Source organism: Homo sapiens, chromosome 11 (genome assembly GCF_000001405.40).
Source record: "Homo sapiens chromosome 11, GRCh38.p14 Primary Assembly".
NCBI classification, from domain to species: domain Eukaryota; kingdom Metazoa; phylum Chordata; class Mammalia; order Primates; family Hominidae; genus Homo; species Homo sapiens.
This window is the reverse complement of record NC_000011.10, coordinates 8,265,745-8,290,405: the sequence shown is the minus strand read 5'-3', so window position 1 is coordinate 8,290,405 and position 24,661 is coordinate 8,265,745. Positions and strand designations below refer to the sequence as shown.

The following is a 24,661-nucleotide window of genomic DNA, read 5'->3' as shown; positions in this document are numbered from 1 at the left end:
CTTCCCTCAGATCAAATCTTCTCTGTAGCCTCTGGCCCTTCCAACAGATGCATGAACCTCCCCCACCCCTGACTTGGTCCCATGTGTTTGTTTAAGAGGTTGTTTAAGAGGCTGCCATGGTGCTAATTGCTGTGTTTATTCCTGCTCACCAAATGCACCCTGCTTTGCAGCATTTGCTTGAGTGGCTGAGTGGCTCTGGATGCCTCCTGGTCCTGCTTGTTTTTCTTTTGAGTGGGGTGGGAGGTTAGGGAAAGAGAAGCATTCTCTGACCTTGATTCTCAGCACTGTCTTTCTGGAGCCATAGACCGCAAGCAGGACTGGGGCCTGTCCCCATCTCTGCCCTGTCCTTCCTCTCCAGGAAGGGGCCCTGGGCTCTGCTGTGGATCAGAAGAATGTAGGTGTGCTGCTGGGTGCTAGGGCAGCATTTCCCTCCATGGAATCATGCCTCTGTTTTCCCAGCAGCCCCCATGGCCAGAAAAGCAAGCATTAGCTCATTGGTTGTACAGTCTGGCCTGCCCTGTTCTCTAAGTAAAGGAACAACCTAGATGAGAATGTTGTGCTTTGCTGGATCTCAGAAGATGAGGCAATAAATGTGAGCCATCCCAGTCTCCAGGGATCCCCAAGAGGGCTGCTCAGCCAGGCAGGCCCCCAGCTCCCAGCACCCCCTGCCTTTGCCAAGCTGCTCCATTGTGAGGGCTTGCAGCCTGGGGTGGAGGGGAGGCAGCCCCTTGCTGAAAAGCCCCAGCCCCCCTCCCCTGGGCCCTTCCAGCCAGGCCAGGGTCAATGGGATTAAAGGCTCAATTCACGCCAGTCAGTTCTCTGGTAACACGATTTCATTAGAGGCAGGCAGAGAGGAGAATGGACGGAAACAGCTGGTGTATAAATTATAAAGTCTACTTTGTACTGAGTGAGCACACCTTTCCCCAGCCACATGACTAATTAATGTGGTGGGGAGTGGACTTGAAGTCAAATTGCCTTTCCCCCTCTCTCCTGGGGCTTGGTTAACAACAGGTCCCTGCAAAGCTGGGAGAAGGGAAGATTATGCAAAGCTATCATCATATGAAAATAGCGTATTAACATACTGCCTGTGAGCTGTGTCCAATCAGTTCCCTCCCAGTGGCGTGTATACGAAACAATTAGAATGGCATTTTTACCACGCTTCTTTAATACATTTTGGCATTAATATAATCAAGGAGTGGGGGCCTAGACATCTTGCAGGCGCGGTTTTCTGGAATACCCCTGGGATGTGCGGGGGTTAGTAGGATGCTGGGCATGGGGTTGGCACGCAGGCTGGGCACCTTTGGACCAGAATCTGAGGCACAGTGCTCTGGTGAGATGCCCCAGACTCTGCCAGCCACCCACAACCTCTGTCTTCCTGGGAGCAGAGGCTTCCTTCCCCCAGAGCCGGGACCACAGACCCCCGTGACTACTCAGCTGGCAACAGCAAGAAGTTCCAGGGTCAGAGTGGTCGGTAGAAATGTCAATCACATATTTTAATCCTCTGCTCAAATTGCCCAATGACTTCCCATCTCACGTCCAATAAAATGCACACTCTTCGCTGGGCCATGATCTAGCCCCTGCCTACGTCCCCAGCTCCCCACATAGCCCACCACCTTCCAGCCTTCTTTCCTTTCCACACACACCCCAAGATCCTCCCTGCCTCAGGGTCTTTTTCCTTGCTCTTCCCTCTGCCTGGTATGGTTTTCTTTCTTGTCCTGTAGATCTCGGCTGTTCAGAGAGGACTTCCCTGACCAACCTGATCTAAATCAGCATCACTGTCTGCCTGGTTGTTTTGTTTCCTTCACAGGTCTTGTCACAGTAATCTCCAATTGTCTTGTGTATGGATCTGTCCCTGGCATATTTGCTGCTTCCCACTGGAATGGAAGCTCCTGAGGGCAGGGCCCTTGCGTGGTTGGACGCTGCAGTATTCCTAGCACTCCAGCAGCAACTAGCATATAGTAGGCACTTGGTGAATATTTTTTGGATGAGTCAATGAATGAATGAAAGAGCCCAATCCTGGCATCTGGAAGCTCCAGGGAAACAAGTAAGACCTGATGGGGATCCTGACTTTGCTGCCATCTCCTTTTGTGGCCTTGGGCAACCTGACTCCCTCTCTTATTCACCAAGCCTTCATCCAGCACCTGCTAGCTGTCTCATTCTGAAGAACTGGGAGAAGGAGAAAACTTCTGTAGTTCCTGCCCAGAGGGGCTCAATGCCTAATTGGAGAAACAAGTCTAGATTTGAGAAAAGATCAGCTAAGTTGGGACTTGAACATGGGTGTGCCAGGGGACGAAAAGGTGGGAGTCAAGGGCCTGGAGCCAAAGCCCCTCCCCTCAGGAGCTTCCATTCTAGTGGGAAGTAGCAAATAAGCCAGGGATAAATCCATACCCAGGACATTTATTACAGATGTTGCATAACTTTAGGCTAGTTGCCAAACTTCTCTGGAGCTCAGTTTCCTCTTTTGTAAGGCAGATCACAATCAAAGCTACTCTTTGAGCTTCTTGTATCCAACTGCCCATTTCAGAGATGGGCAAACTGAGGCCCAGGAGTAGGACAAACCCTTGCCTAAGTCACAGGGTGAGTTAGTGGCCAAGCCAGGACCAAAGCCAAAACCAGAGTCCCTGTGTTTCATTGAGGTAACAGACTCCCTTCTTCCCCCTGTCACCAGCCTCCTGAACAGATCTAGTTTCTCTAGGGTTCCAGTTGGCACCTGCCCCCACATCCCAGAGAAAGAGCCAAGAGCCCTGAACATGCTCCTTCTCTCACAACAGGTGGAGACTGTATCTGAATGAATGCACCTCCAGGCCAGGAGCCTCCTGGGCCTGGCCATGAGACATCTGGAAAGTGGCCTGTTGCCACTCCCCAGATTTCGTATGAACAGAGTTTCAGTTCTGTGTGCAAGACCCAGCACAAACAAGGCCGGCTTGAGTCCTTCCTCCCTTATCCTGCTCGGACGGCCTAGGGAGCTCGCCTCACTGAACCCTGGTGTCCAAACTCAGTGTAGCCAACAGGGGTTCACTGAGTATCTACTACATGCCAAGCACTGTCCTAGGGGCTGGAAATGCAAGAGGGAGAAAACAGACATAGTTCTTCCCATAGAGCTTCCATGTAGTGAACAGAGACACACTCTAATACTATGACTGTAACTACTCTGAAATATTTGAGTAAAGATAAGTACTGTAATTACATAGCAAAGGAGAGGACAGTCACCACGGGGAGGGCTGGTGGATAAGGGACATGTGGACACAGACCTGGATGAAGTGATGGGTCCAGGAACAGAGTGTGGAGAGCAGGCAGTGGGAACAGAAAGCCTGGTGGCCCTGAGCTACGAGGATACTTGGCATATTTGGGGGAGAGCCAGGAGGCCTTGTCTGTGAGAACAAAGTTAGCTAGTAGGAGATTAGGAGGGAGACAAGGCCAGGGGGCAGGTGGAGGAGGGAGGAGGAATGGGGAAGATCATATAAAGCCCTGGAGAGGACTTCTGGTTCCACTCTGTGAGACTCAGGAAGCCATTAAGGAATGACCTGATGAGACCTGTTTTTAAAAGATTACTCTGGGCAGGGTGTGGTGGCTCATGCCTGTAATCCCAGCACTTTGGAAGGCCGAGGCAGGTGGATCACTTGAGGTTAGGAGTTCGAGACCAGCCTGTCCAACATGGTGAGACCCCATCTCTACTAAAAATACAAAAATTAGCCAGGTGCGGTGGTGGGCGCCGGTAACCCCAGCTACTTGGAAGGCTGAGGCATGCGAATCGCTTGAACCTGGGAGGCAGAGGTTGCAGTGAGCCGAGATCGCGCCACTGCACTCCAGCCTGGGTGATAGAACAAGACTGTCTCAAAAATAAATAAATAAATAATAAACAAAAAATTAAAAAAAGATTACTCTGGCTGCTAGGTGAAATGGTCTAGAAGATGCGAGAAGGTAGGCAGGAAACTAATGCAACAATCCAAGCAAAGGATGATGGAATCTTAGCTTAGGGCATCCACAGTGAGAAGCAACTGGATTCTGCATATATTTTGAAGGCAGGACTGATACGGTTTGCTTTTGTGTCAGACAGGCTCAAGAGATACAAGAGAAACTCTGAAGGTCCTGAGGTGACGTTCCCCTTTGGAGAGAGGAGCCTCCTTCCAGCCTGATGCAGGTGAGGCTGGCAAAGCACTTCCTTGGACATTGTCCCTTCCAGCCTCCAACCAACCCAAGAATGGCAGGGCCATGGTGTCGGCTCTCCTAAGGCACACAGAATAAGAGGCCCCTTCAGGATGCAAACCCAAATCTGATTGAGTCCATGCTCTCTACTAAGTTGGATTTTCCCAAGGCCTTGACCAGTTCTCCTTCCATGAACCTCTGCCCTTGTTCCCTCTGCGGTCCTCTCCTGCTCCTGCTCTGCCCTTAGGCCTGAGGGTGCTGCTTCTGGGTGGGGCTAGTGGCCTCCAACAGCTCAGAAGGATGAATGTCTAGCCTCGTTCTCCCAAGCAGGGACATTCCTACCAGGCGGGAGGGATAGATGGGGACAGACATGCATTCCCTGCACCTCAGACATTCCTGCACCCATCAACTTGGGGTCTGAGCAGGATGCCCACAAGCCCTCACATGGCCCTTTAGTAGATTCTTCCTGGATTTCACCTCACCTAACACACCAGGAAGCAAGCAGCTCACCCCCTAGCCCAGTTCATACCCTTTGGCAACCTCAAGTTGGAGACCTATTGTAATAAATGCTGGCATTTCAATGGAGAATGTTTCCAGAGACCAGGAACTCATATACCTCTTACACTCTAATTGTTCCTGTTTCACAGAGGAGGAGACTAGGACTTAGAGGAGTGAATGACATGCCCAAGGCCGCAGAGATGAGCAGGGCTTTGAACCCAGGCTATCTGGCTTCAAGGCCCAATCCATGATGGCTGCTGATGGGACTCTCAAGGGTTGAGGGCAGACCCCCACCCATTCCCCTGAGCTGACAGGGCTCTGGCCCTATAGTCCCTCACCCACACACTGGGAGTTCCCCAGGTATAGTCACTGGGTCTTCGTCTTGAGATTCCCAGTGCCCAGCACAGGGCGTGGCCAAGGGGAATATCTATGGAGATGTTGACATCAGGTGCCTCTCTAAACACTTTGCATATGCATGTTAGTTCATTTAATTCTCAAGACAACCCCAAGAGACAGATACCACAATGATCCCCATTCTACAAATGGGGAAGATGAAGCCCAGAAAGGTTAAGTAATATGTCCAAGGGCACACAGGTCACACCACTAATAAGTGGGAGAGCTGGGATTTGAACCCAGGTGGCCACACTCTTAACTACTCCTCTATATTGTCTCTCTGAAGTTGCTGGTGCTGGGTGCTTGAGAAATGATTAAGTGAATGAAAACTCACTAAGTGTCTGCCATGTGCCTGGCATTAAGCCAGGCACTGGGGACCCAGAAATGAAGACGCAGTTCCTATTTCCAAGTTGCCCACAATCTTGGGGGAGAAGATGGGAGAGGGAGACATGTAGAGGTAGACAGATAATTGCAAGACCAAGTGGTCAGGCTGAGGACAGAAAGAAGACAGAGAACGTGGAAAGGTATAACACAGTGCAGCCTTGAAGGGCAAGTAAGACTTAGCCAGGCTGGGGCAGGCAGGAGGAGAAGGAGGGCACTCTGGGCAGTGGGAACAGCCTGTGCAAAGGCTTGCAAGGGGCAGAAGAACTAACTTCCTAGGCTCCAAGAACAGCCAGTAGCTGGAAAGACCAGCACAGAGCGGGTATGTGGGAGCCTGTGGGACCATGGGAGGGATGCTGAGGGATAACCAGGAAGGGTACTATGTATTGTATACTACACACACACACACACACACACACACACACACACACACACATACATACATACACACCCTGCCTCCTTCCTTCTCTAGAATCTAGGAAGCTCTACGTAATCTTTTTCTAATTATGAAGCAGACTCTATAGCAGAAATCTAATTACAAATCACCTAAAAGTTGTTCCACACTGGAATCCATGCATTATGCATTCCCTGAATTATGCACTGGGCTCCTTCCGAAGGGGAGGGAGGGAAAGAGGTCTGCTCTCCAGCTACTGGGTTCCAGCGACAGCAGTGCTTGGGATCTCTTCTAGGCCCTGAGAAACCAGAGACGCTCACTGGCCCCAGCCTCCATTCAAGAGCTTTGAGAACTGAACCTTGCAGGAGCCACCCTAAGGGGAAAGCAGTACAATCGACTTGGCTGTGGGTGGCTGTGGCTTCAGGAAACACTGCCTTAATTAGGCCTGTGGTCAGATCCCAAATGCCCAGCGCCCACATCTGCCCCTCAGAAGCAGCTGCCCTGTTCCCAGGATGGAAGACCAGCCTCCTCCCGCTGGGGTCTTCCTAATGCTGCCCTGCAGACCTGTGCGGGCCCTGGGCTTGGGAAGCTGAACGCAGGCCTGGGGCCTGGTGATGCCAGAGGTCTGGACATGCCGGGCAGCAGGACTCGGAAGGGGCCGGGCCCCGGGGGCTGTGGGGGAGGGTGCTAGAGACGGAGCCAGACCGTTTTCTTCCCCCCTTGGGTTTGAACGCTGGAACACAAGCACGCCGGCTGGGCTCCCAGGATGCTCTGCTCCTGAAGTGGCATCTGTTGCCTCTTTCATGTCTCTTCAGGCTAAGTGGGAGCTGTCACGTCCGGAGGGCCGCCTCCGCCCCTCGCCTCCTCCCCCGCCCTCCCTCCCGCCTCTTCCCACCCCCTAGCCCCTCTCCACTCCAGATCGAGGGCGACCGGCGTGGGCTGGGGCTGGGGCCGGGGCTGGGACTGCCCGGCCACTGGGGGGAGGGGACGGGCCGTGTGCACAGCTCCAGGCAAACCAGTTTGGGAATTAAGGTCATTAATTTTCCACTTTCAAGGGCTGGCACCCAGACGGAGATAAAGTCAGCATAAATATTCCGCCGAAGTTTCCTGCCTTCCTGTGCTCCCCTTCTCCTCTCCCCGCTGCCAGCCCATTTATCTCCATGCTGTCAATTAGAGGCAAAAGCAAAGAACTAATTAGGAACTGTGCAATTTTAATTAGCTGTTTTGATAATTAAACTAATTGGTTCCCTTGTGTTTCCGCAATGTGCACGGAGCACTTTTTTGATATCTGGGCTGCAGATTTCCCAGCCGTTGGTTAATTAGTCACTTTTGCATTAAAAAGGAGCCTTTCTTAATAGCCTTAATTTGCAGTTGAAAAGAGAATCTACCGTCAATAATTTGTGTAATTGGTAACTGTTTGATTGTAATTTAGAAGCACAGCCGGACGGCTCGGCATGCCTAATTCCTAATGACTAGGATTAAAGTTGGATTAAATGTGGGGAAGGGGAGAGGTTTTTTTTCTGTATAATTGTTATGCAGTGGGTCTATTTCTGGCAACTCTCATATTAATTGTCTGAGCGCTTTAAACTTTTCTGTGGCAGCGGAAGGAGAAAGGAGGGAGGGAGCCCTGTGCCGACTCCGCAGGCCACCGAGCGGAGGGACAGGGGAGCAGAGCTGGTGGTGGCGGTGTGACGGGGCAGGGAGTGATTCGTGACTGAAGGATTCCGCAGGCAGAAGAGGGGAGGAGAGAGGGGAGGTGCTCTTGTGCACTCAGTGGCCATTGCCAGTTTTATTAGGTGACAAGGAAGGTCAGGGAGTGTAGGGTGCTGAAATAAGAGCCATTTCTGGGCCTAGACCATGAAGCTTAGACTTGGCAGTGTCCTTGAGTGTGGGGACAGGCACCTGGGGGCACTGTCCCTTCCACCATGGCATATGGCTTAGTCACAGCACCCAGAATAGCCATAATAGAAGGGACATTACTGGTTGTCCGGCCACACTTTCTTTTCCTCCACCCATGCATGCTCTAACACACATAATACTTCCTAGCATGGAGTTCTGAGGGCCTGCTGCACTCACTTTTGGCTGAAGGGGAGGGAGCATGGGGCCAGGTGGGATGCCAGATCTAGCAGCAGGAGAGGGCAGATGCTGATGGCCCAGGGAGTGGAGAAACATGTGAGAGCTGAGTGAGAATAAGACGGAGAGACAGGCAGGGCACAAAATGTGAAGGCATTTCATAATTCAGGGTACAATTGTATGGTTCTAATCACCCATCCATCCGTCCATTCATCCATTTATTTCTCAATCTAATACCTCTGCAACCATCTGTTCATCCAGCCAGCCACCTTCTTCTCAAATATTTATCTACCCACCTACCCATCTGCCCATCTATCCTTCTTTAAAATTTCCCATCCACCAACCCATCTACCCACCCACCATGTATCTATCCATCTATCTGTTCGTTTGTCTATCTATCCAGCCACCCACCTATCCATTCTTCCTATTTACCTATTGAATAGCCCATCTGTGTCTGCTAATACCAATCCACTTTCCAGTGGATTTCCACTTCTACCTATCAATTTCCCAAATGTTTAACTTTCCACTATCCTTCAGCCCATCCATCCATTCATCCATCTATTTACCCACACTCTCTGTGTGCCAGACTTGAGTTAACTTATTCCTTGGGAAACACTTTTTATTTGATATATATGTATATATATGTGTGTGTGTATATATATATATGCATATATACACATATATATATATATTTAATTTGAAAAGTACTGAGATCATAAGGGCTGGCTCCTAAAATGGGTCCTTCCTCCAAGAAGGAAGTGTGGAAATGGCGGAGACCACTGAGGACTCGAATCACTATAGAAGTTTACCTAGAGGAAGACAGATGAAGCCAAGCCATGGAGGACAGGATGGCAGGGGGAAGTCAGAGACTGACATGGCTAAAGCTGTGCAATTCTGGAAGGGGCAATATAGAGAAAGGAAGGGAGCCATGTTTGGAAGGCCTTGAAATGTTGGGCTTTGTTAGCATGCTGTACCAGAATACAGAAGGCTGAGCAGGGCCAGGTGCATAGTCTCCAGGACTTCCAGTGCCCGCTCCTATAAAGGCCCTCAGTGGTCCCTAGCCAAATGCTTTCCCTTGGTGGAATGCCTGCAGTTCCCATGTGTCTGCCTAAGGCTGGAGCCCTTTATGCCTTCCACAACCAATTATATGTTAGTTGGGTTTCTTTTGGTTGCAAGTGATAGAAACCCAACTTACTCAGAACATCCGAGCCAAGAGAAGGGCAAGAAAGGGGCTGGTCTTCAGAAAAAAATAGAATTAGGCAACAAAACACTATTGGACTATGTCTGTCACCCATCTCTACTTGTCTCTTCATGCTGGCTTAGAAGAAATTTATCTACATGGCAGAGAATACGAGTCTCGAGTCTTGACTTTCACATCTTTTTTTTTTTTTTCTTTTTTTGAGATGGAGTTTGGCTCTGTCACTCAGGCTGGAGTGCAGTGGCGCGATCTCGGCTCACTGCAACCTCTGCCTCCCGGGTTCACGCCATTCTCCTGCCTCAGTCTCCCGAGTAGCTGGGACTACAGGCGCTTGCCACCACGCCCGGCTAATTTTTTGTATGTTTGATAGAGATGGGGTTTCACTGTGTTAGCCAGGATGGTCTCAATCTCCTGACCTCGTGATCCGCCCGCCTTGGCCTCCCAAAGTGCTGGGATTACAGGCGTGAGCCACCGCGCCCGGCCTGACTTTTACATCTTATAACTTTAGCCACCAGAGAGAAACAAACCCAACTCCCTTGGTCCCAAGTTCAAAACTCCTAGTGGGAAAACCCACTGGGCCAACTTAGATCAGTTGCCCACTTCAGGGTCCAAAAGGCCATGGGGGTAAGATTGTGTAAGAGCTGGATATCTTTCACAGGAACATCGGAATAGAGTAATTGGGTAGGGGGAAGTACTTAGAAGGTGGGGGAGGAGGGATTCTCAACAGACAATTCCATATTTGTCTATTAGAGTGACTGCTATGGTTTGAATGTGTCCCCAAAAGTTCACGTGTTAGAAATGTAATCCCCAATGAAACCGTACTGAGAGATGAGACCTTTAAGAGGGGATTAGTCACGAGGGCTCTGCCTTTATGAATGGATTAATGCTGTTATCTTGGGAGTAAGTTTGTTATGGAGGGAGCGGTGTTCTTATAAAAGATGAGTTCAGCCTCTTTTTTTTTCTCTCTCTCCTTCACTGTGTTCTCTTGCCCTTCTACCTTCTGCCATGGGATGACATAGCAAGAAGGCCCTCTCCAAATGCAGGCCCTCAACCTTGGACTTCCCAGCCCCCAGAAGTGTAGGAAATAAACCCCTGTTCTTTATTAATTACCCAGTTTCAGGTATTCTGTTATAGCAGCACAAAATGAACTAAGACAGTGACCATGAACCTTGGCACCCAGCATGAGACCTGGCCTTAGGATACATGAGACAGTGTTGGTTGTTAACAAGAGGAACATGAAGGAGAATGGGAGGCTTTCAGTCCAGACTAGCAAGCAGAAGTTTCATCCCCACCTGCACTCCTTGTGATGGTTCTGCTGGCCTTAGCAGGTCTAGGCTTATCCTAGACCAATTGGTTCTAGGCCAGTAGCTTCCAGCTCCCAAGCTCCTGTTAAGATCACCTCTAGGGAAATGCTTATGGTCAGGCTGGGCTAGACTGGACTCGGAGGCCGTCCCATGGGGCACAGGTTTGGGTGTTATCACATTATTCTAAGAGTTGCAGAGCCAAGTTGCTAGGACCCTCAGGCAAGGAAGGCATAAAGTAGGAGGTCCTAACCTGTTGAGCCAGGGACCCATCTGTGGTCCTATGAGGTAGAGCTTGGAAAAAGCAGCCCCCAGACCTTTTTTTGTGTCCATAGGCCTGGACCACATCTTTAGTTTCAGAGAGTCTGGTCTACAATAGCAGAAAGAGAGAGTGAAGGGTGAGCCTTGCCAGATTCCCTACAGTTGGAGCAGCTGAGCTGAAACGTAAGGTCAGGATAAATACCCATCTGGGCTCAACTGGAGGCCCTGAACATGAAGCAGCCTTAGACATAGGCAGTAGCCTATCCTAATCCACCTGCCCTTAGCTCCCTGGTCCAGCCAAAAAGAAAGAACTTCGGATGCTTCTTCATGTCCTTCCTTCCATCTCTCCCAGGATCAGGCCTTTCGTGAGCATCAGGGAACTTCTTGAAACAAGGAGAAAGCAGGGAGCACATCAAGGCTCAACCTTGGCTCCAGGTTTCCATCCTGGGAAGCTCTTTGGAAACAAGGAGCCTGGCAAAGCAGAGTCTAGAATTGGAAACTTGGAACTTGGAGAACACATTCAGACTATTTATTGGTGGGGAATCAGAGGATCAATGTATTCATTAGGAAAAGGGTTAAGCTACTATAACAAAGAGGTCCTAAGTTACAATGGCCTAAAGAAGATGGAACTTTATCATTTATCTGTCATAACAGGAGATAAAAAGTCTAGGTTGGTAGGGCTACTCCACAAGGCCACTTAGAGACCCAGCTTCCTTCTGTCTTATTTCTCTGCATACCTTAGGGTATTGATTAATCAAATCCGGGTGCTCTAATATCTATATTCCATCTATGGAAAGTGGGGAAGATAGGAAGCTGTGGATAAGCAACTTGTTTCTTCATGCCGGTATAGTCTTTGTCTTTCCCCAGAACAAATTTATCTACATGGCAGACAACATGAGTCTTGACTTTTACATCTTATAGCTTCAGCCACCAAAGAGAAGAAACCAACCCAGCTCTCTGGGTTCCGATGTCAAAACTCCTACTGGGGAAACCCATTGGTCTAACTTGGGTCTCTCCCCTTGTAAGCAAGAGGTGAAAATAGCTTATATCTCTCTTCTGCCTACAAATGAGAACTAGTAACTTATCTATAGCCATTGCAATGGAAGCTGGAAATACAGTCTCCAGTGCCATGTGCCCAGGAGGAAGGGAAGACATGTTGGATATGCCACCAGTAGTCTGCCACACTCAGGAAGGGGAAGTTACACAGTGTGAGATCTGCAAGAAGTGGAGTCAGAATCACGATCTAGGCCTAGTGTCACCAGCAAGTCTGCAGCTCCACTTCTACCTGCAGGCTCTGAGGGTTTGAATTAGCATCCTGTCCCCAGGTGTGGTCCCCCAGGCTTTAGAAGGCTCAATCTAGTACAAGCCCCAGGTGGTAGCTGTGACCTCCAGTCCTGATAGGACTCAAATATTTCTGACTCACCGCAAGGGGTGTTTGAGCACAGGGGCTTGGAGAAGCCCAGGCAAGTCCTAGGTAGCAGCAGCTATGGAGGAATATGTGCTTCCAGGGTTTTTTTGTTCTGTTTTTGTTTTTGTTTTCTCCTCCAAACTTGTATCATTTTGGAGTTGGCAGGGCCTCTCAGACAGGTTGGATGCTGGGTGAGAAGGAACCCCTTTGGCTTTTTCCATCATGGGGCAGGGGTGGGGCAGGAAGACCCCACCAGAGATTGAGGGAGAGAGACCAGGAAGGGGACTAGGAGTGCCCTCCCATCAGTCCCACATACCTGGGCCCCTGCCTGCAGCATGGAGAAGGACTGTTTCTGAGATGCATGTGCTGTTGGGACATGCGGTTGTAGCTCCAAGGGGACCACCTGCATGTGGGTGTGTTCACTCTGGTGAGCCGGTTGGGAAACAGTCTGTTTTCTGGGAGTGAGTCACAGTGCTCAGCCCCATGGCCCAGTCGGTTGGCGTCCATGAAGCTCACGGACCAGCACCAGCCTCCAGAGCACGTGGCACAGCTGGCCCCTTAGACCCAGCCCAGGATCACTCCAGGTCTCCAGTCATCAGTGGACAGGTGATTAGGAGGGTGGGAGAGGGAGGAGACGACCCCTAGTCACATAAAATCAGGGTTCAGATTGAGAGTCTGACATTGCAAGTCAAGCTGTGTGGGGTTTGGTTGCTGGGGTATTCGTAGCCTCAGAGGGGACTGTGGGCACCCAGGAGCCCCCTTGGTAAGGGTCTCTGAAAGGTGGGAGGTGCAGAAATGAAGCCATTTGGAGGTGGGGAGAGGTCCCTACAACAGCTGGCTGGGGAAGCCTGAAAGCTCATCAGCACCTCAGACGTTTTTGCCATAATCAAGTCTCAGAGCAAGCTAGTTGGCTACATAAATGAAAGAACGGAGGGAAATATTTGAGCCAGGCAAATTCTCCCAACAGGGGCTAGGGTGGCAGGTGTATGGAGTAAGAGTAAGTTCAGAATATCTGAGTTGGATTGGACCCCTGAGACCTTCTTCTCTGACCCGTTTTTCTCCCAAGGTAGGAGGCTGGAGAAGAAGATGCAAACACTTATAGCTTAATAGTTTTTCTTTTATCGCTGTCACACAAATAATTATACAAATAACTATGTAATTAACTAGATCATTGTGATAAGAGCTATGGAGGAAAAGCACAGAGGGCCCCATGTCAGACTATAACAGGGAGGCCTAACCTAGTCTTGAGGGGAGAGGCCACCCTGACATTTAATCCTGGATCCAAGGGATGAACACGAGGTGGTCCAAATAAAAGGGGGCAAGAACATTTCAGGCAGAAAAAAATGGTGCTCCTGCAGGCCTGGAGACAAGTGGTGGTTCAGACAATGACAAGGGTAAAATGCTACATCATAGGAGCAAGGGTGGGTGTCAGTGATGGGAGACACTTCAGGAGAGCCTGCTCATACAGAGCCAAGTGGACATGCAGAGAGAGGATGGGGGCTTGCTGTGGAGAGCAACAGGAAGCTTTGAGGGTTGGTTGACGAGATCTGATTTGCATTTTAAAAATATCTCCTGGCTGCGCATGGAGTAATAGAGGCTGTATCATTGAGGCCCAGGGTGGACTTTGGGTGGGGGCCAGTAAGGAGCTCTTGCGGCAGTATGCAAGAGATCATGGCGACTTGGACTAGGGCAATAGCAGTGACTGATTGGAGGGTGTGTCAAAAACAACTCCCATTTAATTTCTAAATTGAAAAAAGTATAAATTACTCATACATTATAAATAATGAAAAGATAGGTGTATACTTTTTTGTTTGAGTCAAGGTCTCACTCTGTTGCCCAGGCTGGGGTGCAGTGGTATGATCATGGGATCTTGGCTTACTACAGCCTCTAATTCCTGGGCTTAAGCGATCCTCCCTCCTAAGCCTCTCGAGTCACCGGGATTACAAGTGTGAGCCACCATGCCTGGCTCAGTGTATACTTTTTCCTTCACTCTTACCTTCCATTCCTACTCGCTAAGGTCACCAGTGTTGACAGCCTGAACAAGTGCAGGCTTTCACATCTTTCCTTCATGTGCATCTTAACAGAAAGAGGCTTTCTTTTGAATGGGATAATATTACTTGATACTCTGCAATCTACTTTTCCCACTAAACAGAACATCACAGATGTCCTTTGCAAGTCAGTTGCTCTAACTCATTTTTAACAGTTGCATAATATTCTACAGCAGAGTTGTAGGACAATTAATTCAATCATTGATTGGCACTGATATTCGTATGGTTTCCAGTTTTCTGCCACCACAAACAATGCCGAAATTAGGATCCTTATATATAGGTGATTTCCCCTTATAGGATGGAGTCCCAGAAAGAGGATTTATAAGTCAAAAGGCATGTACTTGTTTAATAAATAGTGCCAGATTACCTGCCCCAAAAGTAATAGATCGTGCCAGATTACTTGCTCAGTAGCAAAGGAGAGTACATATTTTCTCAAAATTTTAGCAGATCTGGACATTTCACTTTTTAAAAATTGCTTGCCAATCTAATGAATTTAAATAATGAAAACTTATTTTGCTTTAGTTTGCATTTTCCCAATGAATAATGAGGGTAATCATTTTATTGACCATTTAGATATTTCCTCTCTGAATGGCCTGTTCATTCTCTTTTTCCATGTTTCTTTTAGGCTTTTGTCTTTTATTTACAATTTATAGAAATTCTTTGTATATACAGCATATTTTGCAAATATTTTCCTAAGAAATCATTTGTATTTTTCTTTTGTTTATGCTATCTTTTGCCATAGAAGTTCTGAAAATCAGATTTAGTATATTTATCTTTTCCTTTGTTAGCCGCAACAAATTTATTCATGTTGTTATCCAAATCTATTAAATTTTTCTAATAAAATGTCTTCCAATATTTTCAATGTTTTATTCTTATTTTAAAATATTAAGCCACTTGGAACACAATTTTTATGTTTAGGGGAGGTAAGGATCCTATTTGTTTCTTCCAGATGAATAACCAGTTATGGCAGCACCGTTTATTGAAACACCTTTACTGAGATGTAATTCACATACCATACAATTCACCATTTAAAGTGTACAATTCAATGCATTTTAATATATTCACAGATTTGCAAATCTCCACAATTTTAGAACATTTTTATAACCTCAAAAAGAAACTCTGCACACCTTAGCTATCACAGCCCTACTATCCCCAGCCCCTAGCACCGACTCATCTACTTTCTGTCTCTACAGACTTGCCCATTCTGACATTCAATATAAATGAATTCATACAATACAGTCTTTTGTGAATGGCTTCTTTCACTTAGCATTATGTTTTCAAGGTTCATCCATCCTATGGCATGTATCAGTACTTTATTCCTTTTTATGGCTGAATAATATCCATTTGTCAGTTCACGAACATTTGGTTTTTTTCCCACCATTTGGCTGTAATGAATAATGCTGATATAAATATCAGTATACAAATTATTGTGTGGACCTATGTTTTCAGCTCTCTTGGGTGTACACCTAGGAGCAGAATTTCTGGTTATGGGTGACTCTGTTTAACTTTTTGAGGAGCTGCCAGGCTGTTTTCCAAAGTGGTTGCACCATTTTACATTTCCGCCATCAGTGTTTGAGGGTTCCAATTTCTTCACGTTCTTGCCAACATTCGTTATCTAAAGTTTTTCATTCCAGCTTCCTAGTGGGTGTGAATTGGTATCTCACTGTGGTTTTGATGTGCATTTTCCCAATGACCAATGATGCTGAGCATCTTTTCAGATTCTATTGGTTTATTTGTATATCTCCTGTGCAGAAATGTCTATTCAGATGGCACTACCACTTATTAATTTTTCTCTGATGAATTAAAATGCAACATTTATCATATATTAAATTCCTTTCTGTACTTGAAACTGTTTATTGTCTCTTTGTTCCTGTGATCTATTTCTCCCTTCCTGACTTACACCACACTATTTGATTATGGTAGTTTTGTAGTATGCTTTATTATCTAGTAATGCAAGTTGTATCCAATTAGTCTTTCTTTTCACATGTTTTGTTAACTAGCCACATATATTTACTTTTTAATTGCACTTCAAGTTAAATTTTTTTCAGTTCTAAAAATTTTTAATTTGGGATTCTAATAGAAATTGCACTAAATTGATATATTAATTTTGAAAGGATTTACTTTTATGATAATATCTTCTTTTTTAGAAATATGGTTGTCTTTCTATATATCCAGATCTTGTTATATGTCCTTCAATATGCTTTCATGAGTTCCTTTAAAGAAGACCCTTATCTTTGTGATGATTGTTGTTTTTAAATTATTCCTAAATATTTGCTTTGTCACTATTGCAAATGTTCTATTTCATTGCCATTTCTAACACATCATTGCATTTAGAAAAAAACTACAGCTTTCTATCTATTTATCTTGTATTTAACTACCTTCTCAATTATCTAATAATTCTAGTAACTTTCACACTAAATTTTGTTGGATTTTTGGTTATATAATCGCATAATTTGTAAATAAACATATTTTTGTCCTTTCAAAAAACAGCTGTTTATTTTAAGCAGTTCATTTTCTTGTCTTATTGAGTTAAAGTCTCAAAAAATGTTGAATAATAATGATAATGGATATTCTGTCTTAGTTCCAATTTATGGAAATAGTTTCAGAATGTCACATTTATTTATTTTCTTTTGGGTTTTGGTAAACAGTCTTAACAAATTGAAGTAGTTTTCTTCTATTTCTATTTTGCTTAATATTTTGTTAGTAATATATGCTAAATTTTATCAAATGATTTTGGACATATATTACTATACTCATATTTTGTTCCTTTATTTGTTGATGTAGTGACTCATACTGATAGAGTTCCTTATGCTGAATCATGTTTGTGGTGTTAAAATAAACCCTCCTTTGTCATGGTGTTTTATTCTTTTGATACTTTTTTTTCATGTCAAGATAGCTAATATCTTATTTCAGCTTTTGCACTCTTATTCAAGCTGTTCTGTGAATTTTTTTTCTTTTAAAATTCAATCTTTATAAGGTTTGGGATTAAGAAAATGCTGGCTCATAAAACAAACTAGGAAGCTTTCCAAATTTTTCTTTTGTCTGGAATAGTTTAAATAACATTAAAATCATCTGTTTTTCAGGTTATACAAAACTCATTTTAATGTAATCTGTGCCTTGTGGGGTTTTATTTTAATTGTGATAAAATACACATAACATAAAATTCACCATCCTTACCATTGTTAAGTGCACAGTTTAGCAGTGTTAAGCACATTCACGTTGTTGGGTAACCAATCTCCAGAACTCTTTATCTTGCAAATCTGAAAATGCTATACCCATTAAATTCCCCATTCTCCCCTCCCCTGAACCCCTGCCAACCACCATTCTACTTTTTGTCCCTATGAATTTGACTACTCTAGGTACATCATATAAATGAAGTCAAGCAATATTTGTCTTTTTGTGACTGGCTTATTTCACTTGGTATAGCATCCTCAAGGTTCATCCATGTTGTAGCATGTGTCAGAAATTCCTTCCTTTGAAAGGCTGAATAATATTCCTCTGTATGTATCTACCACATTTTGTTTATCTATTCACCCATTGGGGAACACTTGGGTTGCTTCCACCTTTTGATTATTGTGAATAATGCTGCTATGGACATGGATGTAAAAATATCTCTTAAAGAACCTGCTTTCAATACTTTTGGTTTATTTCCAGAAGTAGAATTGTTGGAGCATATGGTGCCTTGTGATATTTTAATGGCATAGTTTTAATATCTTTTTAAATGTATTCTGTTTATTGGCCTATTTGGGATTTCAACATCTTCTATGCTCAGTTTTGATAATTTTCTACTTTGCTCGAAGTCATCCATTTCTTCCAGGTTTTCACATTTATTTTCATAGGCTTACTCATATTATTGTTATAATTTTTTAACCTTCTCTGTACCTGTGATATATCTCTTTTCTTATATCTAATATCATATATTTGTGCTTTATTTTCTTAACTAGGTTTTCGTGGAAGTTTTTTTTCCATTTTGTTAGTCTTTTCAAATAACCAAGTGTTGGTTCTAATTTTCCCTTTTAATTACCTTTTCTATTACTTGTTTATTTTCTATTTCATTGTTTTCTGACTTCATTAATTTTCTTCCACTTTTTTGGTTCAGTTTATTCTTTTCTAATTTCTTAGATTGAATATCTAGTTCATTTTCTTCCAGTCTTTTTAAAAAATATTTCAAGCATATGAGGCTATATTTCTTCCTCTGAGTACAGCTGTGTTCCGTAAGTTCTGTATGATATGCTGTGTTTTCTATTTTCATTACTAGATTGGTAATTTCTGTTTTGATCTTATTTTGATCCAGTACTAATTTAATGGGATGTTTCTTAATTTTCAAGCAGTTTATGCTTTTAGCTTTGAAGTTGGCTTTGTTTGACATTAATATTGCTGTTTCTACTCCCTCTCTGCTTGCATTTTCTTGGTGTATCTTTGCCCATTGCTTTATTTTCAGTCTCTTTGTCACCTTGTTTTGGGAGTATTTCTTGTAAACAGCATTTGGCTGTATTTTATTTTTAACTTACTCAGACAATCTGTTTTTTGATAGGGAAATTCACTCTCTTCATGTTTAGTGTAACATACTGATATACTGACCTCCACCGCCATTGGGAAAAGCTGGCGGTTGCACCAGGGACAGCTCCCCTATTATTGTTCTGGTCCATTCTTTCTCACACAGCCTTTCCCTTCATGCCAGTCATGCAGCTAAGACAGGTTGGAACATAAAGGCATAAAAATGCCAAATACCAGATCCCACAATTTTACAGTAATTAGCCCCAAATTCTGATGTTCCAATTCTCCTCTCCAGGATCTTCCTCTCCAAATAGTTGTGAGACCTAGGAATGCTTACTCATGTGACCCAAGTGCCCTCTGGACACCACTAGATTTTGAGTTCTGGATAGACATTTTCTCTCTAGCAGTCCCAGGGTTGGGAGATGGGGGTTGATGGATTATGAGAAGAGACGCCGTCTGTATAATTAGAGCTGCTGCCTGATGCTCTTGCCATCTTGCCCGAGCTGCTGTTAATGCCACCAAGTTGCTAATCCCAGCTGCTCTTTTCCTCTTGGCCCAGCAAGGTGACACCTCAGCTTCTAATGACCAGCTGTTTCAGAGGGGGCTCCCATAGCCAGGCTGCAGGGCTTCTAGTGACCCAGTTTCTCATTTGCACCACTGCCCTCTTCTTCTCAGAGTGATGGTCAGGGGTGAGTTAGGCCCCACCTTGCACCATACTTGGAACTGTTCTTCCTCTAAACTCCTGGTCTTGCTTCTCAGTCTAGTCCACCCATGAGGATCTCCTCTCAGGAACCTCATTGTCTCTCTGCCAGCAGGCCCCTGCTGAAGATCTCAGTCCTCATGATAGATCTGTCCCTTCAACTTTAGCTTTGAAGTTGGCTTTGTTTGACATTAATATTGCTGTTTCTACTCCCTCTCTGCTTGCATTTTCTTGGTATACCTTTGCCCATTGCTCTATTTTCAGTCTCTTTGTCACCTTGTTTTGGGAGTATTTCTTGTAAACAGCATTTGGCTGTATTTTATTTTTAACTTACTCAGACAATCTGTTTTCTGATAGGGAAATTCACCCAGCTGTGGACTGAGTTCAGTGTCTTTCACCAGGAGTTGGGGACCCATATAAATGCAGAGATAGGGCGGGGCATCTGCTTCATTATCCCTGATCACTCCATGATGTTTACACTCTCTGAAATTTCTCTTTCTCTCTATGAAAACCAGGAGGCTGGTCTTTTAAGTGCTCACACAGGCCCTTGCTGCAAGTGATGGTGGGAACAGGGAGTCTGGGTGCTTATGCCTCAGGCTGGCTTCTCTGAGTGTGAACTCTGGCCAAGCAGAGATGCCCAATTGCAGGGCCCCGCTAGTCTGTATGGTGCTTTTGTGCGAAGTAGCAAAAGGTGCCCTCTCTGGGTGGGTGCAGTCCGTGCCAGCTACATGGCTTGGAGGGTGGAAGGATGCAGAATTTCAGGCCCTACTTGCTCTTTGACAAGACGCCTTAGCACATGGAATAGCCAACACCCATCTAGGCAGTCACTCCTGGGGAATTGAGAGCAGCTGATTTGGGAGATCATTCTGAAGAATCTCTCTGCACAGTCCTCCTTTCTTCACCAAATTGAATATAATTCATGCAGTCATTTCACAAACTTTCCCAGATACTATGTGGGTCTGTTTGGGAGGATAGAAGAGAGTGGGAGGAATCAGGATGAGCTCCCTCCCTTCTCTCTACCCCTCAATCAGAATGTGTTTTGATAAGTGGGGGCTTGGGGACAGTATAAAGGTGACTAACTGCACCTCCCTTACCAATTAAATTTTTTAAAAAGCTGCTATGGAGGGAGCGAATATTAGTTTCCTGATTTATAAAGCCAAATGGATTAAGCTCATTCATTGCCCGAGGAAACAAAAAGGAAATCTTCAATACCTCTGTGCACATTGAGAATAGGGACAATGCCGGTCTTTAGAAAGCAGAAACCTAATTTGGGGGAATCAATTACCCTCTGTGTCCTGCCTCTGTGGGCTCTCTCACTGGTTCTCTCAATAGATTTCCTGGGAGGTAAAATGTGGAGAAGTTGATCAACCACAGGCACACCCTCGGTACAGCCTTGAGACAGGAGGTGAAGAACTAGGTCTAGGGTGGGTGGAGTTGGGGGTTCCCGGGCACAAGGGTGGGGTGGGGAGGGTTTTGGGATAAAAGTTGAGAGTAGGGGCGGTATTGAGAGGGGCAGTGAGAGGGCAAAGTGGGTGGTGGTGGTGGGAACCTGGGGTTTATAACTGGGGGAGAGCAAAGCCCAGTTGATGCCTGAACAGGTGACCGGATGGAGAGCACTGTGGCCCAGCCTGGGTCCAGAGTCACCACCGCCTCCTGATCCTCTCGGATTTCTCCTCTGTGATCTGCACTTTCCCCCGTGGGGCTGAGCATGCCGCGGGGAATGGCTGGGCAATAATGAAAAAAGAAAGGGGATGGGGCGCCTGCCACGGTAGCCACGGAGTCACATTCACAAAGTCACACACAGAAGCACTCTCGCGATCTCATACACATTCCTGTGCCGGGTCCCAGTCCAGGCCCACTGTCCCCAGACCCAGAGTCACGCCCAGCCTGGCGCACTCATTCAGAATCACAGGCACGGAGCCCACACTCCTACCCGCACACACCCACCCGCAATCGCACGCGTCCCACCCCCACCCTTGTCTTGAGCTCACACAGTGGCTCACCACCCCACACAGCCCTCACTCTGGCATGCGGACACACACACACACACACACACACACACACAGCCCCTCACACGCACACACTCTGGCTGTGCTTTTGTGTTTTGTCAGAATTAATGAGAAAAGTTCCCGTGCCCTGCGGGTAATTAGTGTCCTTGGAGTTAAATAAGCTAATGGCGGGCACCTCTGGCCCAAGCAATTATGTTTGTGTATTGAATAATTGATTCAAAGGGGGGGGAAGGGCCGCTAATCAGATCTGAGCATAATGAATTGATTTAATTAACAGGGGAATCTGAGGGGCCCTGGGAAATGCAGCCTTCACTCTGCTGAGGCGAGTACGGCCGGCGCGGAGGAAGGACGCGCGCGCGGCTCAGGCTCCGGCTGCGGCCCGGCCCGGGCAGCTGCTGCTCGCGAGGCTCCCGCGATCCCGGCCTGGCCGTCTCGCCCCCGCGCCTTCCCCCCAGTCCCTCCTCCTGCGCTCCCTGCCCGCGGGGCTGCGCTCCGGACTCCGGTCCGTCTGCCCCCGTCGGCGGTCGCGGCTCTCCGGACTCGGCGCCCGCGCGGGGCCGGCGGGAGCAGCGCAGGCGGCCGGCGGCGGGAGTCGGAGCCACGCGCCCCTCCGTATCCTCGGCGCTAGTCCGGCTGGAGCCGTCGGGACCATGGTGTTGGACCAGGAGGACGGTAGGTGCCCGGCGCCCGGTGCCGGTGCCCGGGGGCACGCGGGACGTGGGGCGGAGACTGCGGCGCTGGCCCTGCGGAGTCCACCCCGCTAGCGGCGGCAGAGCCCTCAGCACCCGCGGGCCTCCTCCGGCTGATGGGTGGCTTCCCGGAAGCGCGGCGGCTGATGTGTGCGCCGGTGCCGGGGTCGGCGGTGCCAGGCTCAGCGCCCGGGCTTCGGCGGCGGCGGGATTAGGAAGTCTCCCGGTCCCAACGAGGCCGCCAGCCCTGCGCGCTCCGGCTGGGAACTTTCTCACGGACTCTTGCCGCCTTGCGGGCATCCGGAGCGCCTCTGCGACCCGCACCGCGGGCTTCCCGGCAGTGCCCACTGCCAGCCAGTCTCCCAGCCTCTCTGGGTGTCTGCACGTTCCCCTTCCGCACCCTACTGCGGAACGGATCCCAGCGGGGTGGTGGGGGTGCCCACAGATCCTGCAGGTGCAGGGGTGAGGGTGCCGTCAAACCAGCACTGTCTCTGCGGTCTGGCACTCCGTAGCTGCGGGATGGCTGACAATTGTCTCCGCCCCTGGCAGGGCTAGGGAGGGAACTGCCATCAGTTCACCCAGCCTGGCATGTTGGGAGGTGCCACGCTGGCTGGGGTAGGTGGGTGGGCCATCTAGTCCAAAATATCAGGTTCAACTAGAGGCGGTTTTACCTTGAAGCTAATGAAGTTTAGGGTCCTTCAGGTTCCTTCAGCTGCCAGGTCCTTGGTGGTAATTTGGTATTAGTAGTCTTGTAGTCCTTTTCTTAAAGAGCCCCACGCCCAAACTACAGTAAGCTTTGGACCTCACAAAATTTCCATCCATCCCTGGGTCCAACTCCTACCCTTTCCACTGCCAGTCTCTTGGAAGAACTCACAGCTCTGGCTGACCCAGAGACCATCCGCCGAGGCTGGGACAATCCCTTAGTGCCTGAAGGACGAAGTGCTGGGGCAGGAGGCTGGAAGGTTTGGGGTTGAGAGGCAACTTCTGGGCTGCAGGGAAAGGGTCTGGCTGCCTGGCCTTCCTCTCTGGCCCAGCTAGTCCCTTGACCCATCCTACCACCACTCACTATAGTGATCAATTGTCCTTGTTTGCTCAGGACGATCTCAATTTTAGTACTGAACATCCTGTATCCTAGGAAACCCTTGAGTCACAAGGCAAACTTGGACAGTTGGTCAGTGCACACCCAAAACCTTCTCAGGGCTGTGGTGCAGGGGTAGGGGAGATTTCTTTGCTATGGTGCAGATTTGGCTTAGGCCTCCACAAGGCCTAACAATCTATAACTGCTGCTTGCAAGAAGGCCTGTCCAGGCTCTCCAGAAACCAAAAGAGGAAAAGTTTGCCGACTGTGCACTTCTTCACTCCAGCGGGTTGCAAATTCCTGTGCATTGGCTGCTTTTGTGTAAGCAGGGGGAAGGGAAGGGCATCTGAACATGGCCAGCAGGCATCCTGATTGCACTGCGAAGTCTGTAGGTTTACTCTGTCCTGTCAACTGTGGTGGCCACAGAGAAGGGGTCCTCGTCACCCCAATACCTCTCTGAGCATCACCTGTGTGGCTAGCTTGTAACTCCGTCTTGGAGGCAGCTGCATTGTGTTGGGAGCAGGCCCTCTGGCTGAGGCACATCTGACAGTCTCCACCAAAGACTTCTGTAATATCTAGTCGGCCTGGGCCCTCAGGCCCTGGGTCCCACTATCTCCCACCCCCACTCCTAATGCAGGAACTCTTCCTCGGGACTTTCCTGCCAGGTGGAGGGGCAAATTGCTGGGACCTGCCCAGATATTTGTAAGACAGCCAGTAGCACCCACTTTCTCCTTAAACTAACCTTGGGGATTGATAGTTGTCCTCTCCCTGCCATTCCCAGAGGCATTTCGAGGGCATTTTGGAGCACTCTTGGCTTGTCGAAGTGAGAGTACATGCTCATCACCTGTGGAATGTGTTGGGGGAAAACTACCTCCCCCAGCCCCAGGGGATCTGAGGATTCCACTCTGGTGCTGTGGGCGTGTCCCTGGACCTAGAAGCAGCTTGGGTGGGGTGAGCATGGGGGTGGGGCGAGTATGGGGGTGGGAGTTACTTGCTTGCCCAGTGAGTGGAGAGAGGCCATCAGATGGGGTGAGTGATGTTTCTATCTGCCTCTGTCAACCCAGCAAGCCCCTTCCTGGCTGGAAGCTCAAGCCACCCAAACCCTCCAAGACTTGCTGTGAAGGTTCCTCTCCAGATCAGTTTGGGAGCACCATGCTCACAGCTGGGGGTGCAGAAAGAGCCACCTGTGGGCACACACAGCACCAGTCCCCTGCTGGCATGCCCTACCTGCTTCTGCAGCCCATTGCTCAGCACCCCAGGCCTGCTCCAGTCCCTGGGTTTGGGGCACAGGGCCCTGACTCCCCAAAGGGATGCCAGTCATGTGGCTGCCAATTAGGTACCTTGGAGGCTGAGGTGAGCTGGTATTCAGACAAACTCGTGGACAAGAGAGTGGAAGAGTGGCCACAGCTAGCCCAGTCCTGGTTTGTGGGTCAGGGCCAGCCCCTGAAAGTGAGGAGAATCTGCCCCTGGAGGTCAGTAGTAAGGCTGCATGCAGCCCCGATGGAGTGAACGCCTCCAGTAGCACAGAGGTTTCTACGGCAAGAAGTTGCCCCTTGCCAGCCTGTCAGGCCCTGTGCTTGCTACACTG

General features: G+C 47.8%; 1 protein-coding gene across 1 annotated transcript in view, besides 5 other annotated features; it reads left to right on the top strand.

Moving 5' to 3' along the window:
* Positions 6,981–7,542: an enhancer, noted in NCBI's record as "NANOG-H3K4me1 hESC enhancer chr11:8304411-8304972 (GRCh37/hg19 assembly coordinates)". NCBI's record gives its function as "activates a minimal SCP1, AML or CMV promoter by ChIP-STARR-seq in primed H9 embryonic stem cells {active_cell/tissue: H9 hESC(primed)}" and the evidence as "EXISTENCE:reporter gene assay evidence [ECO:0000049][PMID:30033119]".
* Positions 7,543–8,104: an enhancer, noted in NCBI's record as "H3K4me1 hESC enhancer chr11:8303849-8304410 (GRCh37/hg19 assembly coordinates)". NCBI's record gives its function as "activates a minimal SCP1, AML or CMV promoter by ChIP-STARR-seq in naive H9 embryonic stem cells {active_cell/tissue: H9 hESC(naive)}" and the evidence as "EXISTENCE:reporter gene assay evidence [ECO:0000049][PMID:30033119]".
* Positions 16,797–16,997: a silencer, noted in NCBI's record as "peak1191 fragment used in MPRA reporter construct". NCBI's record gives its function as "represses an SCP1 promoter by STARR-seq MPRAs in K562 erythroleukemia cells {active_cell/tissue: K562}" and the evidence as "EXISTENCE:reporter gene assay evidence [ECO:0000049][PMID:32103011]".
* LMO1 (LIM domain only 1) overlaps positions 21,619–24,661 on the top strand; it is a 44,479-nt gene continuing 41,436 nt past the window's right edge. Inside the window, exon 1 of the mRNA NM_001270428.2 lies at positions 21,619–21,979. Within this exon, the coding sequence (NP_001257357.1) occupies positions 21,958–21,979 (22 nt within the window). The 5' untranslated portion in view covers positions 21,619–21,957. The remainder of the gene's footprint in view (positions 21,980–24,661) is intronic.
* Positions 21,795–22,378: an enhancer, noted in NCBI's record as "H3K27ac-H3K4me1 hESC enhancer chr11:8289575-8290158 (GRCh37/hg19 assembly coordinates)". NCBI's record gives its function as "activates a minimal SCP1, AML or CMV promoter by ChIP-STARR-seq in naive H9 embryonic stem cells {active_cell/tissue: H9 hESC(naive)}" and the evidence as "EXISTENCE:reporter gene assay evidence [ECO:0000049][PMID:30033119]".
* Positions 22,379–22,963: an enhancer, noted in NCBI's record as "H3K27ac-H3K4me1 hESC enhancer chr11:8288990-8289574 (GRCh37/hg19 assembly coordinates)". NCBI's record gives its function as "activates a minimal SCP1, AML or CMV promoter by ChIP-STARR-seq in naive H9 embryonic stem cells {active_cell/tissue: H9 hESC(naive)}" and the evidence as "EXISTENCE:reporter gene assay evidence [ECO:0000049][PMID:30033119]".